This window comes from Homo sapiens, chromosome 16 (assembly GCF_000001405.40).
Source record: "Homo sapiens chromosome 16, GRCh38.p14 Primary Assembly".
NCBI lineage: Eukaryota > Metazoa > Chordata > Mammalia > Primates > Hominidae > Homo > Homo sapiens.
In genome coordinates, this window is record NC_000016.10 from 52,326,397 (window position 1) to 52,346,381 (window position 19,985).

The 19,985-nt window shown below is 36.4% G+C and overlaps 1 long non-coding RNA gene across 3 annotated transcripts in view; it reads right to left on the reverse strand.

Moving 5' to 3' along the window:
* LOC107984901 (uncharacterized) overlaps positions 1-19,985 on the reverse strand; it is an 86,734-nt gene that overhangs the window by 29,390 nt on the left and 37,359 nt on the right. For all 3 annotated transcript variants that reach the window (XR_001752185.2, XR_001752186.1, XR_001752184.1), the window contains one exon: positions 16,213-16,331. This is a non-coding gene — a long non-coding RNA (uncharacterized LOC107984901). The remainder of the gene's footprint in view (positions 1-16,212; positions 16,332-19,985) is intronic.

Genomic DNA, 19,985 nt, shown 5'->3' on the forward strand with positions numbered 1-19,985 from the left:
ATTCTGCTTTAATGATGTATTGTTACTACTCACAATATTCTAAGTATTATCTTTATGAAGGAGGAAATTTCAATGTAAAAAAATAGGAAGAATGAAGTATTGAGGAGGGGCTTGTAAACTCAAAGTCATACACAGGCCATGCAGCTAATGTAAATGAATGAGAGGGGCCAAGTATGTTAGTAAGGAGCTTTCCTCATCAAAGAGAAATGGGAGATCTGGGTTTTATGTGAACTCACCTGGTTTTCTAAAATGCTTTGTGGATAGGAAGACTACGAATCACAAGCTACCAGTTTGCTATTTCTGTAATTGATAGAAAATACTCATTTATTTGATAAATATATATTGAAATGACTACTGTTTGCCTGGGAATTTTCTAGGCCCTCAAAGTTAATAACAGGCAAACTCCTGTTCTTTATAAAGAGTGAGTTTTCCCATATCATTAACAAAATCCCCTGGTTAGGAGAAAATGAGTTTACTCTTATCTTGCACATCGACTTTGTAGAAACAGAAATAACTGTCCATCTGTTCTGAAACTTTATAGAATCATTATTTGTTCCATTGGCCCAACAAATGGGCTGTCATCAGTAATTGCCCAGTGTACTGTGAATACTTTCACTGACATTGTGTCAAGTCTAACTCAGATTTCTGAAAGATTCTTTGATCAGTGTTCAAACACTTTACTGCTGTACTCACATACCTTGCACTTTAAAGTTAGAACATTTTTACAGTGAAATGCTCTCTATCTTTTGTAATAAATATGTGATGAATATGCCCTCCTCTACTCTGCTAAGTCATCCCAAGAAATATCTGAACCCCAAAGGGATCACACAAATTAGTAACCCTTCCTGTTATTATAGTTATCATTAAACAATAACCTTTAAGGCTTTTATTTCCAGCCAAGATGCAGTAACAGAGACCCTTACTTCCTCAACAGAGAAAATTCACACAAAATATGTAAAACAATGGTTTTCAAGACATTGGCCATTGGTCAACAAAGGACAGTGGTTCCTGGGAGGAAGAAACGAATGAGGGGAGTGCCAAAGTTATCCAAGCTTACTCCATTGAGAGAGTTTCCAGCCCAGAGCACAGGAAGGGAAGCCCAGGTAGAGCTGGGTAGAGTCACTGATTGAGGATAAAGACACGAGAGTCCAAAAAGAGCAAGACAGCTAGAGTTCATAGGACAGAGCACCAGAGAGGAAAGAGTCACATAGAGAGAGATTCAGTACATCTGCAGAGAATTCCCCTGGAGTATTCAGCATAGTACCTGGCAAATATCTGGCATCCAATCAAAACTTACCAGGCTTGCAAATAAATTGGAAAATAGATTCCATAAGAGGGAGAAAAATCAGTCCATTGAAGCCAACACAGAATTGACCCTAATGGAAGGTATATTAAAATTATTATAATTGTATTCTAGATATAAAACAAGAACTAGAAGAAAGATTATACATGCTAAGTAGAAACATGGAGGAGATAAAAAACATCCATATTGAATTTAGGGAAATAAAAACTACAATGTATAAGAGGAAAAATACACTGAATAAGATTAGACATTGCGAAGGAAAAGATTAGTAAATTTAAAGACATAAAAGCAGAAACTACCCAAAATGTAAAAGAGAAAGAAACAGGGAATAAGAGAAAGATGAACAGAGCATCAGTGAGCTGTGGGACAACTTCAAGCAGTGTAATGTATGTGTGATTGGAGTGCGTGAAGGATTACAGAGACAGAAAATAAATTTGAAGAAATAATGGCTGATTTTTCAGAATGCACGCATTCTTTTCAACTTCACACAGAACATTTACCAAGACAGATCATATTATGAGCCATAAAACAAATAAATAAATTTTAAAGGATTTAAGTCATACAAAATATGTTCCCAGACTCCAATACAGTTAAATAAAACATTAATAATACAATGATATGTAGAAAACCCCCAAACATTTGGAAACTAATTCATTTTTTAAAAATTCATGGATTTAAAAAAAAATCGAAAGGTGTATTACATAGTATTTTGAAACTAATGAAAATAAAAGCATTCATATTAGCATTTTCATGGAATACTACTAAAACATTACTTAGAAAGAAATTTATAGCCCCAAATGGCTATATTAGAGAAGAAAAAAGGTCTCAAATCAATGCCCTTACCTTTCACTCTATGAAACCAGAAAGAGAATTACAAATGAAACCTAAAGTAAAAGAAAAAAAAAGAAAGTAATAAAGATTAGAGCGGAAATCAATTTAATGTTTAAAAAGAGAAAAATTAATGAAACCAAAAGCTAGGTCTTTGGGAAGATCAATAAAATTGATAAATCTCTAGCCCAACTAATCAGGAAAAAAAGAAGACACAAATTGCCAGTAGCAGGTATAAAAAAGTCTACATATCATATCACTATTAAGTCTACAGACATTAAGAGAACTATAAGGGGATACTATAATGATATTATAAATAATTGTATGTTGATTCTTTTAACAGCTTACATGAAATAGACAAATTCCTTGAAAGACCTAAAATAACAAAGTTCACAAAGAAGAAATAGATATCCTGAATAGGCCTATATTTATAAATGAAATTAGGTTTATAGCTAAAAACCTTCAAACAAAAAAACACTCCAGGCCCAGATGACTTTACTGGAAAATTTTACTAAAACCTATAATGAAAAAATAATACCAATTCTACACAAATTCTTTGAGAAATTGTACGAAGACAGAATTATTCCCAACTTCTTTTATGAAGCTAACATTGCCCTGATACTAAATCCAGACAAAGATATTATGAGATGAGAGAACTACAGAGAAAAATTTCTCATGAATATAGATGTAAAAATTCTCTAAATTTTAGGAAATTGACTCAAATAACATATAAAAATGATAATACCTCATGACTATGTGAGATTTATTCCAAGAATGCAAGATTGGTTTACCACTTAAAAATCAGTCAATATAATTCATTATATTAATAACAAAAATATATAATCATCTTAAACATGCAAAAAACATTGACAAAATCACACATCCATATCCATTCCTGATAAAACCCTCAGCAAACTAGATATATAAAGGAACTTCCTCAACCTAATAAAGAGGTTCCATGGAAAACCCATAGCAAACCTGATACTTAAGACTGAAAGACTGACTGCTTTCTTTCTAATACTAGGTATAAGACAAAATGTCTACTCTTACCACTTCTATTCAACATTGTACTGCATAGTCAAGCTGTCAATAAGGCAAGGAAAAGAAATAAAAGGCATCCTATTTCTTTTCCTTGAGTAAAACTGTCTTTATCCACAGACGATATGAGAGTCCATAGAGAAAATATAATAAAATCCATCAAAAAGCTAAAAGAACAAATAAATGAATTCAGCAAGTTTGCAGGATATAAGACTATATGTAAAAAATCATTTTTATTTCTCTTTACTAACAACAATCAGAAATTAAAATTTAAAAGCAATATCATTTATGACAGCGTTGAAAAGATTAAATATTTGTAGATAAACCTGACAAAAGATGTGCAAGACTTATATATTAAAAACTACAAAACATTGTTTAGAGACATTAAAGACGACCTAAATAAATGGAGAAATATGTTCTATGTTCACTAATTGAAAGATTTGTATGTTAAGGTGTAAATCCTCCTAAATTGAATTATTTGATGTTGGCCAGATGAGAGAGTTACAAATTTTCCCTCTACAGTGAAGAATCACCAAGCCTTCAGTTTCCTTCAAAAATCCAACTTCTGGATCTTTCTGTAGCCCTCTGCTTCACGTTTCTGCATTATACAACAAAGCTCTGGCTTTTCTATTCCTTAAAACACTTATACAATATTAAAGATGAGACAAGGAGCCACAAAGATTCCAGTTTTGCTTCAAAGATACCTCTCAGGGCATCTGAACTCCATAAATCTACCTGGCATCAGCATGGCATGAGCTAATATCATAAGAAGAAGCCTGATGTGATTGCAGGAAAACACAAAACAAAGAACATACAAAGAAGAAAAGTTATCTTTGCCTTTTCTTGTGTAAATATGAATTCATCCTTAACAACTGCAAAATATGCACCAAAGAGTCAATACTACTTTCCTTATACATTCACAACATGCATGAGTACATTATGTGACTCAGAACAGAGTCCAGAGGTGGTCTGCATTCAAATTCTAGCTCCACCACAAATTTTCTGGGTTTAAATGGCTTAACTTCTCTGTCTCCATAAACTGGAGAGAATGCACAAATCTAAATCACAGAATTATTGGGAGGATTCAATGAGACTTTCAACATGAAGCACTTAACACAGTACCTGGAGCATAATTAAGTGTTCATTAAATAGTAACAATGTTTATAATTATTACATTTATTAATGATGACAATTATTATGATTAACATTTTTAGTGACACCTGAGATTTTGTCACCTTTTATATTGAATTCAATGTTTTTTAGGGTCTGGCATGTGAAATGTATGAGCTAGGAAATGTAAAAATAATGCATAATGCTTACATTTAAGAGTTTTCAATTTAAAGGGAAGAAGGAAAGGTGAAGGGGGCATTTATAGTCTTATTCTGTCTTCTACAAGCATTCTTCTTGGGGCTATAGCTGTTAGGAAAATCCCCTCTACTATTAACATTTATGAAGCCATGGATTTGTGTTGTAGAAGGCATATCTCACTGTTCTGCCCTTTCTGCATTTGCTTCACCTGTGTTTAAGGGGGAATAAAGCTGTGTCAAGGAGAAAAGGTCACCCACCCATATTGGTGTTTCCTCGGAGAAGTTGTCTGAGTAGACTGCAGAGGGACAGTGGTGCCCGGACCAGACACCATGGGGCTAGGGGCAGAGTCATCCTATACCTCTGAGCCCACCTGATTGGGAGCATTGTCCCAGGCTACCTCCATGCCAGGGGAGAAGTAGCCTGTCTAAGCCCCCAAAAGCTTTCTCATGGAGGGAGAAAAAAGGGAAGCTGTCAGCTTAAATAGCTGAACACAGAAGGTTTAATCAGTAGAGAGCCCCTCATTCAAGTAACATGAGACCTGGGAGAAAAAGGCAAGAGAAGAGCTGGAATCCAGTCAGGGTTTTTTTCCCCTTTCTTTCTTTTGCCAAAGCTCTTATTGGCTATGGGGGAAGGGAGGAAAAGAGAAGAGTTGCATGACACAAAAGAGACTGCTCAGAGCTGATGCCAATTTTGTACCTTAGAATTACTGAGTTGAGGGGTATTGGGGCCTCTCCCCAGATCTCAGTAGATGAGTGAAAATGCTTCTTTCAAAGCCATTTACTCAAGGAAAGCAAAGCATACCATTAGGAATCAATGCCAAGGTTTGGTGGGGGTTTTGCTGCATTTGGAAGGAGGGGTAAAAATTCATGATAAAAAGTAAAGATGTTAAAGAGGTAAAAACAAATAGTATAGTAGAGTGAAAAAAAAGAAATCCTGTCATTTGATAGCTGGTAGGGAGCTTTGCTTATGGGGTGCACTGTATATGTAAGTGGTTCATGTCTCTGGGCTTCTTTGGGTGGAAGGTTCTATAAGGTAACAATGAAATAAGAAGACAGCCAAACTTTTTTGCATAGAAAGTTAATGGGAATTTAGAACTGGACAGAGCAGCAAGGGATAAGGTGAGAACACCATGGTGGAAGGCAGAGCATACAGCGAAGAGTAATGATTGGGAAATTCTGGCATGTTTTTAAAAGATTTGATGTTGAATATGTACTTTTAAGTTGTTTGCAATTTCAAAATGTCAGCATCTCTGCCACTCAGGCTTAGAGCAAAATCTGCTCAACCCACCAAAGCCTGGTGGGAACAGCTTGGGGTAAGCAAGGTAAGCGGGCTATATTCCTAATCTGGGAGGCAGAGAAAGAGAACAGAAGCCAGATGTGAGAACTGAATATGTTTTAGAGTCCACTAATTCCACTAATTTGACAGAGAATTTTCACACACTCCCTCCCTCCCCCTGCTCTAGCTCCTTTTCCCCCACAACACAAACGTGAATCCCCAAGGAAGAAACACTGCCCTTTCCCTCTGCAGGTGGGATGGGAATTCGTGCCAAATTTTATATACATCCAAAGGGCAGAGTGACCTCAGCTTATCCTTGGGTTAAATTAATTAGCACACAAAGCAAAACTTGGTCACTGAGAACTTCCCAAAAGAGCATATGAGACAAGACTCTTCCAGCTGCAAATTGGCTTAAGCACAAAGAGCAACTTAGCCCCGGAAGCCCAAACCATGGAAAAGGGAGGAGTGAAAGCAGTTTCAAGACTGATAACATCCAAAGCTTCAAATATTGTAGGGGACCCCCCTCCATCTTCCATTTGTCCCTCTTTCAGTGGGTCTGTTTCATTCTTTCTACAGAAACTCATCCCTGTAGATTTTTAGGTTAGCTTCCAGAGGAAGGTAATTTGTCCAAACAAACAAAATATACCCAGAAAGTATGGAGAAAACATTACACAGTGTATGTTACATCAATCATACTTCTAGATGTTGATGCCAAAAAAGCTTTCTGATTTTCGTCTTTGATAGGTTGGCAGTACACCTTACTCCAGGAGTGGGTTTCTCACAAAAGGATAAGTTCTGCCCCCTTTTGTCACTCTTTCTTGTTCAGGCTTCTGCCATGGGACAACACAACCAGAAAGCCCTCACCAAGTGCAGGTCCTTCAAACTTTGACTTCCCAGCCTCCAGAACTGTGAGAAACAAATTTCAGTTCCTTATAAATTACTCAGTCCGTGGTATTCGGTTATAGTAGCACAATACACACTAACATATACCATGTACTTTTTCTTCAATGTACCCATCATATTTGTGATTTTATGTTTAGGTGATTCTTTGATTAATGTAAGCTCCATGACGGCAGGAATCATGTCTATTTTGCTACTGTTACTTCCCCAGCACCCAGCACATGGCCTGCCACAAAATACGTACTTCATAACTATTTTGAGTAAATGAACAAATGAATGAACTAATGAATAAGCACATGAAAGAATAAATTGATGGATGAATGGATGAGGAAGGAGGACTAGGGTAATAATCAAGAATAATGGGGGTTCCAAGATGGCTGAATAGGAACAGCTCCAGTGTACAGCTCCAAGTGTGAGTGACGCAGAAGATGGGTGATTTCTGCATTTCCAACTGAGGTACTGGGTTCATCTCACTGGGGCTTGTCAGACAGTGGGGGCAGGACACTGGGTGCAGCTCACTGAGCATGAGCCAAAGCAGGGCAAGGCATCACCTCACCCAGGAAGTGCAAGGGGTCAGGGAATTCCCTTTCCTAGCCAAGGGAAGACATAATGGATGGCACCTGGAAAATCGGGTCACTCCCATCCTAATACTATGCTTTTCCAACAGTCTTAGCAAACGGCACACCAGGAGATAATATCCTGCGCCTGGCTCAGAGGGTCCCATGTCCACGGAGCCTCGCTCATTGCTAGCACAGCAGTCTGAGATTGAACTGTAAGGCAGCAGCGAGGCTGGGGGAGGGGCGCCTGCCTTTGCTGAGGCTTGAGTAGGTAAACAAAGCGGCTAGGAAGCTAGAACTGGGTGGAGCCCACTGCAGCTCAAGAAGTTGTGCCTGCCTCTGTAGACTCCACCTCTTAGGGCAGGGCATAGCCAAACAAAAGGCAGCAGAAACCTCTGCAGACTTAAATGTCACTGTCTGACAGCTTTGAAGAGAGTAGTGGTTCTCCCAGCATGGAGTTTGAGATCTGAGAACGGACAGACTGCCTCCTCAAGTGGGTCCCTGACCCCCGAGTAGCCTAACTGGGAGGCACCCCCCAGCAGGGGCAGACTGACACCTCACACAGCTGGGTACCCCTCTGAGATGAAGCTTCCAGAGGAACAATCAGGCAGCAGCAACATTTGCTGTTCAGCAATATTCGCTGTTCTGCAGCCTCCGCTGCTGATACCCAGGCAAACAAGGCCTGGAGTGGCTCCAGCAAACTCCAACAGACCTGCAGCTGAGGGTCCTGGCTGTTAGAAGGAAAACTAACAAACAGAAAGGACATCCACACCAGAACTCCATCTGTATGTCACCATCATCAAAGACCAAAGGTAGATAAAGCCACAAAGATGGGGAAAAAACAGAGCAGAAAAGCCGAAAATTCTAAAAATCAGAGTGCCCCTCCCCCTCCAAAGGAATGCAGCTCCTCGCCAGCAATGAAACAAAGCTGGACAGAGAATGACTTTGACGAATTGAGAGAAGAAGGCTTCAGACGATCAAACTTCTCCTAGCTAAAGGAAGAAGTTCGAAACCATTGCAAAGAAGCTAAAAACCTTGAAAAAAGATTAGACGAATGGCTAACTAGAATAAACATTGTGGAGAAGTCCTTAAATGACCTGATGGAGCTGAAAACCATGGCACGAGAACTACATGACGAATGCACAAGCTTCAGTAGCTGATTCAATCAACTGGAAGAAAGGGTATCAGTGATTGAAGATAAAATGAATGAAATGAAGCGAGAAGAGAAGTTTAGAGAAAAAAGAGTAAAAAGAAATGAAAAAAATCTCCAAGAAATACGGGACTATGTGAAAAGACCAAATCTATGTCTGGTTGGTGTACCTGAAAGTGATGGGGAGAATGGAACCAAGTTGGAAAACACTCTGCAGGATATTATCCAGGAGAACTTCCCCAACCTAGCAAGGCAGGCCAACATTCAAATTCAGGAAATACAGGGAACGCCACAAAGATACTCCTCTAGAAGAGCAACTCTAAGACACATAATTGTCAGATTCACCAGAGTTGAAATGAAGGAAAAAATGTTAAGGGCAGCCAGAGAGAAAGGTCGGGTTACCCACAAAGGGAAGACCATCAGACTAACAGCAGCTCTCTTGGCAGAAATTCTACAAGCCAGAAGAGAGTGGGGGCCAATATTCAACATTATTAAAGAAAAGAATTTTCAACCCAGAATTGCATATCCAGGCAAACTAAGCTTCATAAGTGAAGGAGAAATAAAATCCATTACAGACAAGCAAAGGCTGACAGATTTTGTCACCACCAGACCTGCCCTACAAGAGCTCCTGAAGGAAGCACTAAACATGGAAAGGAAAAACCGGTACAAGCCACTGCACAAACATGCCAAATTGTAAAGACCATTGATGCTAGGAAGAAACTTCATCACTAACGAGCAAAATAACCAGCTAACATAATAATGACAGGATCAAATTGACACATAACAATATTAACCTTAAATGTAAATGGGCTAAATGCTCCAATTAAAAGACACAGACTGGCAAATTGGATAAAGAGTCAAGACCCATCAGTGTGCTGTATTCAGGAAACCCATCTCACGTGCAGAGACACACACAGGCTTAAAATAAATGGATGGAGGAAGATCTACCAAGCAAATGGAAAACAAAAAAAGCAGGGGTTGCAATTCTAGTCTCTGATAAAACAGACTTTAAACCAACAAAGATCAAAAGAGAAAAAGAAGGCCATTACATAATGGTAAGGGGATCAATTCAACAAGAAGAGCTAACTATCCTAAATATAATGCACCCAATACAGGAACACCCAGATTCATAAAGCAAGTCCTTAGAGACCTGCAGAGAGACTTAGACTCCCACACAATAATAATGGGAGACTTTAACACCCCACTGTCAACATTCGACAGATCAACGAGACAGAAAGTTAACAAGGATACCCAGGAATTGAACTCAGCTCTGCACCAAGCAGACCTAATAGACATCTACAGAACTCTCCACCCCAAGTCAACAGAATATACATTCTTCTCAGCACTACATTGAACTTATTCCAAAATTGACCACATAGTTGGAAGTAAAGCACTCCTCAGCAAATGTAAAAGAACAGAAATTATAACAAACTGTCTCTCAGACCACAGTGCAATCAAACTAGAACTCAGTATTAAGAAACTCACTCAAAACCGCTCAACTACATGGAAACTGAACAACCTGCTCCTGAATGACTACTGGGTACATAACAAAATGAAGGCAGAAATAAAGATGTTCTTTGAAACCAGTGAGAACAAAGTCACAACATACCAGAATCTCTGGGACACATTTAAAGCAGTGTGTCGAGGGAAATTTATAGCACTAAATGCCCACAAGAGAAAGCAGAAAAGATCTAAAATTGACACCGTAACATCACAATTAAAAGAACTAGAGAAGCAAGAGCAAACACATTCAAAAGCTAGCAGAAGGCAAGAGATAACTAAGATCAAAGCAGAACTGAAGGAGATAGAGACACAAAAAACCCTTCAAAAAATTAATAATCCAGGAGCTGGTGTTTTGAAAAGATCAATAAAATCGATAGACTGCTAGCAAGACTAATAAAGGAGAAAAGAGAGAAGAATCAAATAGATGCAATAAAAAATGATAAAGGGGATATCACCACCAATCCCACACAAATACAAACTACCATCAGAGAATACTATAAACACCTCTCTGCAAATAAACTAGAAAATCTAGAAGAAATGGATAAATTCCTCGACACATACACCCTCCCAAGACTAAACCAGGAAGAAGTTGAATCTCTGAATAGACCAATAACAGGATCTGAAATTGAGGTAATAATTAATAGCCTACCAACCAAAAAAAGTCCAGGACCAGACGGATTCACAGCCGAATTCTACCAGAAGTACAAGGAGGAGCTGGTACCATTCCTTCTGAAACTATTCCCATCAATAGAAAAAGAGGAAATCCTCCCTAACTCATTTTATGAGGCCAGCATCATCCTGATACCAAAGCCTGGCAGAGACACAACAACAACAAAAAGAATTTTAGACCAATAACCCTGATGAACATCAATGCAAAAATCCTCAATAAAATACTGGCAAACTGAATCCAGCAGCACATCAAAAAGCTTATCCACCATGATCAAGTGGGCTTCATCCCTGGAATGCAAGGCTGGTTCAAAATATGTAAATCAATAAACATAATCCAGCATATAAAGAGAACCAAAGACAAAAACCACATGATTATCTCAATAGATGCAGAAAAGGCCTTCAACAAAATTCAACAGCCCTCCATGCTAAAAACGCTCAAAAAATTAGGTATTGATGGGACGAATCTCAAAATAATAAGAGCTATTTATGACAATCCCATAGCCAATATCATACTGAATGGGCAAAAACTGGAAATATTCCCTTTGAAAACTGGCACAAGACAGGGATGCCCTGTCTCACCACAACTATTCAACATAGTGTTGGAAGTTCTGGCCAGGGCAATCAGGCAGGAGAAAGAAATAAAGGGTATTCAATTAGGAAAAGAGGAAGTCAAATTGTACCTGTTTGCAGATGACATGATTGTATATTTAGAATACCCCATTGTCTCAGCCCAAAATCTCCTTAAGCTGATAAGCAAATTCAGCAAAGTCTCAGGATACAAAATCAACGTGCAAAAACCACAAGCATTCTTATACACCAATAACAGACAAACAGAGAGCCAAATCGTGAGTGATCTCCTATTCACAATTGCTTCAAAAAGAATAAAATACCTAGGAATCCAACTTACAAGGGAAGTGAAGGACCTCTTCAAGTAGAACTACAAACCACTCCTCAACGAAATGAAAAAGGACACAAACAAATGGAAGAACATTCCATGCTCATGGATGGGAAGAATCAATATCGTGAAAATGGCCATACTGCCCAAGGTAATTTATAGATTCAATGCCATCCCCATCATGCTACCAACGACTTTCTTCACAGAATTAGAAAAACTGCTTCAAAGTTCGTATGGAACCAAAAAAGAGCCCACATTGCCAAGTCAATCCTAAGCCAAAAGAACAAAGCTGGAGGCATCACACTACCTGACTTCAAACTATACTACAAGACTACAGTAACCAAAACAGCGTGGTACTGGTACCAAAACAGACATAAAGACCAGTGGAACAGAACAGAGCCCTCAGAAATAATACCACACATCTACAGCCATCTGGTCTTTGACAAAACTGACAAAAACAAGAAATGGGGAAAGGATTCCCTATTTACTAAATGGTGCTGGGAAAACTGGCTAGCCATATGTAGAAAGCTGAAACTGGATCCTTTCATTACACCTTAGACAAAATTAATTAAAGATGGATTAAAGACTTAAACAGTAGACCTAAAACCATAAAAACCCTAGAAGAAAACCTAGGCAACACCATTCAGGACATACACATGGGCAAGGACTTCAGTCTAAAACACCAAAAGCAATGGCAACAAAAGCCAAAATTGACAAATGGGATCTCATTAAATTAAAGAGTTTGTGCACAGCAAAAGAAACTACCATCAGAGTGAACAGACCACCTACAGAATGGGAGAAAATTTTTGCAATCTACTCATCTGACAAAGGGCTAATATCCAGAATCTACAAAGAACTCAAACAAATTTACAAGAGAAAAACAACCCCATCAAAAAGTGGGTGAAGGATATAAAAGACACTTCTCAAAAGTAGACATTTATGCAGCCAACAGACACATGAAAAAATGCTCATCATCACTGGCCATCAGAGAAATGCAAATCAAAACCACAATGAGATACCATCTCACACCAGTTAGAATGGCGATCATTAAAAAGTCAGGAAACCACAGGTGCTGCAGAGGATGTGGAGAAATAGGAACACTTTTACACTGTTGGTGGAACTGTAAACTAGTTCAACCATGGTGGAAGACAGTGTGGCAATTCCTCAAGGATCTAGAACTAGAAATACCATTTGACCCAGCCATCCCATTACTGGGTATATACCCAAAGGATTATAAATCATGCTGCTATAAAGACAAGTATGTTTATTGTGGCATTATTCACAATAGCAAAGACTTGGAACCAACCCAAATGTCCATCAATGATAGACTGGATTAAGAAAATGTGGCACATACACACCATAGAATACTATGCAGCCATAAAAAATGATGAGTTCATGTCCTTTGTAGGGACATGGATGAAGCTAGAAACCATCATTCTCAGCAAACTATAACAAGGACAAAAAACCAAACACCGCATGTTCTCACTCATAGGTGGGAATTGAACAGTGAAAACACTTGGACACAGGAAGGGGAACATCACACTCCAGGGCCTGTCGTGGGGTTGGGGGAGGGAGGAGGGATAGCATTAGTAGATATACCTAATGTAAATGACGAGTTAATGGGTGCAGCACACCAACATGGCACATGTATACATGTGTAACAAACCTGCAAGTTGTGCACATGTACCCTAAAGTATAATAAAAAAAAAGAATAATGGCTTTCAGGCATTGTATATTTTCTTTTAAATTAAAGGGGAGGGAACATTTATATTGCTCTGCATATGTGACTGACATTAAGCTACATATTGTGGATTTGATTTAAAATCAGATCATCCTGATTCTAATGCCCATGGCCTATTAACTCTACTCTGTGGCCTTCTACAAACCAGATGATAAGTTGGAAACCAAGGAAACTAAGAAATGCAGAAGAATCAATTATTTCTTAAAGATATTTATAATCTATAGGGCCAATGAACATCAGTTTATATAACAGACACTTAGGTATCACTTGCTGTGTGCCAGGCATGGTTCTAATGCTTTACAAATATTAACTCGTTGCAGTGAGCTGTGTTCTAGTGACTGCACTCCAGCCTGGGTGACGAAGCAAGACGGTGTCTCAAACAAACAAACAAAACAAAACAAATATATATATATATAAAATATATATATAATATACGATATATATAATATATAAGATACATTATACACAGTATATATAATATATAAGATACATTATACACGGTATATATAATATATAAGATACATTATACACGGTATATATAATATATAAGATACATTATACATGGTATATATAATATATAAGATACATTATACACGGTATATGTAATATATAAGATATATTATACACGGTATATGCAATATATAAGATATATACGGTATATGCAATATATAAGATATATTATATATGGTATATGTTATATTATAGATGGTATATGTAATATATAAGATATATATGGTATATGTAATATATGATATATTATAGATGGTATATGTAATATATAAGATATATTATAGACGTATATGTAATATATAAGATATATTATAGATGGTATATGAAATATATAAGATATATTATAGACATATATGTAATATATAAGATATATTATAGATGGTATATGTAATATATAAGATATATTATGGACGGTATATGTAATATAAAAGATATATTATGGACGGTATATGTAATATATAAGATATATTATGGATGTATATGTAATATATAAGATATATTATGGACGGTATATGTAAGATATAAGATATATTATAGATGGTATATGTAAGATATAAGATATATTATAGACGGTATATGTAAGATATAAGATATATTATAGACGGTATATGTAAGATATAAGATATATTATAGACGGTATATGTAAGATATAAGATATATTATAGACGGTATATGTAAGATATAAGATATATTATAGACGGTATATGTAAGATATAAGATATATTATAGACAGTATATGTAAGATATAAGATATATTATAGACGGTATATGTAAGATATAAGATATATATGGTATATGTAAGATATAAGATATAATATATATGGTATATATGATATATATAATATATATTTTTTATATATAAAATATATATCTATATTTTCATATAGTACGACCCTATGAAATGGCTTTTTTTGTTTTTTTTGAGATGGAGTCTCTGTCTGTCACCTAGGCTCCCAGGCTGGAGTGCAGTGGCATAATCACAGCTCACTGTGACCTCTGCCTCCTGGGCTCAAGCAATCCTCCTTCCTCAGCCTTGTGAGTAGCATGCCACTACACCCAACTAATTTTTGTATTTTTGGCAGACAGGTCTTCACCACATCACCGAGGCCAGTCTTGAAACCCTGAGCTCAAGCCATCCGTCCACCTTGGCTTCCCAAAGTGCTAGGAATACAGACGTGAGCTACCCTCACTGGGCCCTATGAAATAGCTTCTATTCAAAGATGTCTCTTGGAGACAAAGAGATCAGGTAACTTGCCAAAAGCTATACACATAGACAGTTGTAAAATCAAGATTTGAACCCATGTATGTGGCTCCAGAGCCCATGTGCTTAATTACCACTCTATGTAATTAAAAAAATCACTAGAGCTTAACTAAAGCCTCAAAAGATTTTTTTTCTCTTTCACAAATTCACAAATAAGGAACAGAGTTCAAGTTTTGTTCAAAACGGAGTAGGCACATTCCACTCTGTCTCTCCCACTCAACAAAACTAAAAACCCTGAACAAAATGCTCAGAGCAGCTAGTACTCTGAAAATTAAATGGCAGCAGGCGGGTTAAGGCAGAAAACCAGACTCTGAGTACCACTAGGTTAGTGATGAGTTCCCCGTATTTCCTCCCTGTAGTACCTCCTGACCCAGAGTCGAAGGCATCGTGAGATCCAGAACTTCATATGAAGAGCAAATGGGAAGGATTCCAAAAAAATCTCTATTTCTGGTCCAAGGAGTGGAAAAGAGGAGGTCCTTTGGATAAGAAATAGTGAGGAAAATGCCATTTGTTTTCTATTTGTTTTTTTTAAAAAATTTTATTTCAGCCCAGCCACCAGGGCAGTTAGACAGTGGTGGTGGTAGTGGTGGCAACAGAAGCTGGACAAGTGCCTGAAACTCAGTTGGAAGGGAGCACTTCTTTCAGACTAGAGAGGCTGATACCAAGGGTGTAAGGCTAATTGGCCCTGCTCTTTTTCTCTATATATTATCCTGCACCTAGCCCCAGAAGCAGACATATTGTGGGAAGAGAATGGCAGAGAGAAGAAATTAAGTCACAGCTTTTAAGTCCAAAAACCAGGAAAGAGGATTCCTGTGGCCCAGTTAGTATTTGGGAGATCACAGAAAGTAGACTTCAGAGAATAGTACCAAAACATTTTGTATAAACTCCTGTGCTTACCCTGAGCTATGCATACCTGAATCTGATCTCACACAACATACCAAAGACTTTAAGAACTGAACTGAATGGTAGACCACTGTTCCATCCTCAAACTAGCACCGCATGGCATTCGCATGGGGTGGGTAAAAATGGCACTGCAAAGGCTTTGAAAACTGGACTAACAAACATTGAAACAAGAGCTCAGAGGAGGCACGTAGAAACGTGTAGCCTGAACAAAACCTAGTTGGATGCCTGCTAAAACAAACAAATAAATAAATAGCATCCTTCATATAATTTAATAAAAGCAAGAGTGACTAAGATAACATTCAAAAAGTCCAGGGTACAAAGAACCAAAACAATATCAACATTTGGGAAGAAAAAAGACAAAGCACACCAACCTGAAGACAGGACAGATGCTGGGATTTCCAGACTTGGACATGAAAGCATCTCTTTTAAACATGCCCCCAAAGGTAATGGTGAATCGTGTTGCCCAGGCTGGTCTGAGGTGAATCATCTTCTAAAAATGAAAAAGATAGAAAATTTCAGTAGATAAAATATAGAAAAGATTTCTAAAAGCAAATAGAAATATTAGAGCTAATAAACCACAATAACTGGAATCAAAAGATTTAGTTGATGGGCTTAATAACCAATGAAGATGACAGAAGAAAGAGTTGGTGAACTTACAGATAGATCAATAGAAATATTAAATCTCAATAGCAGTGAGAAATGAGATTGGGGGAAGAACAGGTAAACAGATTTACAGAGATCTATAGAATAATGTCAAAAGGTCTAGTATTCATGTCATCGGAATCCCACAACGAGTTGATAAAGAATGTGGCAAAGAAAAAAAAATTATAAAGGCTCACTCCTCAAATTTGGTTAAAAAGATAAAAGAATAGATTCAAGAAGCTCAGCAAACACCAAACGGTGTGAAATTTAAGAAATCCACACTCAGATACATCAAAATCAACATGCCAAAAATTAATGACAAAGAAAACATTTTGAAAGCAGCCAGAGAGAAACAGGGCATTGCATAAAGAAGAAAAATGATTTGAATGGCTGCAGACTTCTCAGGGAAGCTGGAAGACAGTGGAACAACACATTTAAAGTGCTAAAAACCGAGAATTGTCAACCCAGAATTTGATATTCAGTGATATTTTTAGAAATAAACATGAAGTGATGACATTCTGAGGCGAAGGAAAACTAAGAGAGTTCATCTCCAGAAGACCAGCTCTTTAAGAAATACTAAAGGAAGTTCTTCAGACTGAAAGAAACTGATCCCAGAGGGAAACATAAAAGACCAGGAATGGGGAAAGAACAACAGAAATGGTAAACATATGGGTACATGGAATAGATATTTTTCCTCTTAAGTTCTTAAAAATAGATATGAAAGTTGAAAGCAAAAATTATAAAGTTTATGACATTTTCAGTGTATATAGATGTAGCACATATGAAAACTAAAAAATAAATGGAATAACATGTTCTTTATGATGCTAAGGTTTATACATCCTACTTGAAGTGGGAAAATATTAATTCTGAGTAATCTATAAAAAGTGAAGTGTTCCGTTTACCTATGTAACGAACCTGCACGTTCTGCACATGTATCTTGTTTTTTTTTAAGAAGAAATAAAGAAAAAAAGTGCAGTGTTTACATTTTAACCTCTCAAATAACCACTAAGAGATTATACAAAGAGATTATAAAAAGCTTAATAGGTAAATTAAAAATGGCATATGAAAGATATTTCAATAATCCAAAAAAGGCAAGAAAGGAAAACAGAGAAACAAAAATAGAAGAAATAAACAGAACATTTTAGTGCTTGTGTTAGAAAATAAGAAAAGTCTCAAGTCAATAGTCTATGCCTCCACCATATGAAATTCAAAAAAGAAGAACAAAATAAAATCAAAGCAAAAAATAACAAAGATAAAAATGGAAATTAATGAAACTGAAACAAGAAACTAATAGAAAAAAAAGTTGAAGTTCTTTAAAATTGATAAATCTCTAATAATATTGGCAAAGAAAAAAGAAGACATAAATTCCCAAAGTCAGGAACGAAAGATGGATTATCACAACAGAACCACAGACATTAAAAGAATATTAGATAAATACCACAAATAACTCTATGCACATAAATTTGACAATTTAAATGAAATGGGCAATTTATTTTGAAGCCCCATACTACCTTAACTCACTCAAGAAGAAATAGATAACTTGACTAGTATTCTGTCTATTAAAAATTAAATTCCTCATTCACAATTTTCTTAGAAAGAAAAATACAGGTCCAGATTCCTGATAAATTCAGCCAAGGATTTGAAGAAAAATATTTCCAATACTAAACAATCTTTACCAGAAAAAAAAAGGAAGCTCTCAGACTCATTTATGAGGCTAGAATTACTCTCATACTAAAGCCAGACAAAGTCGGCTAAAGAAAACTACAGACAAATATACATCATGAACATAGCAAAAATTCTTAACAAAATGTTAGCAAATCAAATTTAGTAACATAAAAAAAGAATAATACAACATGATCAAATAGGGTTAATCCCAGGAATGTAAGCCTGGTTCAACATATAAAAATAATTTTTAAAAATCCATCATATAATAGACTAAAGAAGAAAAAACACCTAGATATATAAATTTGTGTGAAAAAAGCAGAAAAACCAGCATTTATTTAACATGAAAACTCTCATCAAACTGGGGACTAGAAAAAAACTTTATTAATTGATAATGGGCACCCCAAAAAAAAGAAAAAAGAAAAAAACACTGCTGACCACATAAAAAAGAAAATACTGAAAGCTATTTTTCCCCAAGATCAGGAAGAAGCCAAGGATGCCCACTCTCACCACTCCTATTTACCATTATAGTGGGAATCCTACTCAATGCAATAAGTTAAGCAAAATACATAAAAGGCACACAAATTGGAGAGAAAGAAATTAAACCGTCCCCATTCACAGACATGTTTGTCTATGAAAAATAAAGAGTAGTGAATCCAGAAAAAAAGGTTCTTTGAGAGTTCAGTAAGGATAAAAGGTTAATCTACAAAAATATATCAAATTTCTATGTATTATCAATGAAAAATTAGAACCTGAAATTTGAAAAGTAATGCCATTTAAAATAGTTTCAAAATATGAAATATTTAGGTCTCTATCTAACAAAGTGTATACAGACTCCATATACTGAGAATTACAAAATTCTTGTGAAATAAATCAAAGTTCTAGGTAAATGCAGAGACAGATTATATCCATGGATTAGAACACTCAATACAGTTAAGATATAAATTGTCACCAAACTGATCTATAGATTTGATTCCATTCCAACCAAAACCCTGTCAGGATTTTTTGGCAGATACACATATGCTAATTATAAAATTTATACAGAAAGGCAAAACAATTAAAATAGAATATTACTTAAAAATAAATAAAATGAGAGGATTTACACTATTCAATTTTAACACTGCTAAAAATCTAGAGTAATCAAAACAGTGTGGTATGGGGTAAAGGGATATGCTTATAGGAAAATGGTAAAGAATACAGAGCCTATAAGTAAACTCAGACAAATATGGCCAATTGATTTTAAACAAAGATAGAAAGGCAATTCAGCAGAGGAAAGATACTTTCTAACAAATACTGTTGGAACAACTGAATATCCAACCAAAAATTAATGTCAACCTAAACCTCACACCTTATACAAAAACGTAACTAAATATGGGTCTAGATTCAAATGAAAAATACATAACTATAAAACTCTTAGAAGAACATAGAGAATCTTTATAGTTGAGGTATTGGTAGAGTTCTTAGACATGATACCAAAAAGCATAATTTGTAAAATAAAATCTTGATATATTAGATTTCTTCAAAACTATGAACTTTTCCTCTGCAAAAGACACTGTTGAGTGACATCATAGAGATGGGGTCGGGAGCATGAAGAATCAGTTCCTTCACTGAGCAACAAGTAAGATGACATAAGATTACAGAATCAGCTTTTTCACAATTCTGGGATCTAATTTAAAAATTTAGAGGTCACCAGTGATTCACATCTGTAATCTCAGCACTTTGGGAGGCCAAGGCAGGAGGATTGCTTAAGCCCAGGAGTTTGAATCTAGCCTGGGCAGCATAATGCGACCCTGTCTGTATTTTAAAAATTAAAAATTAGCCCATCATGATGGTGGATGCC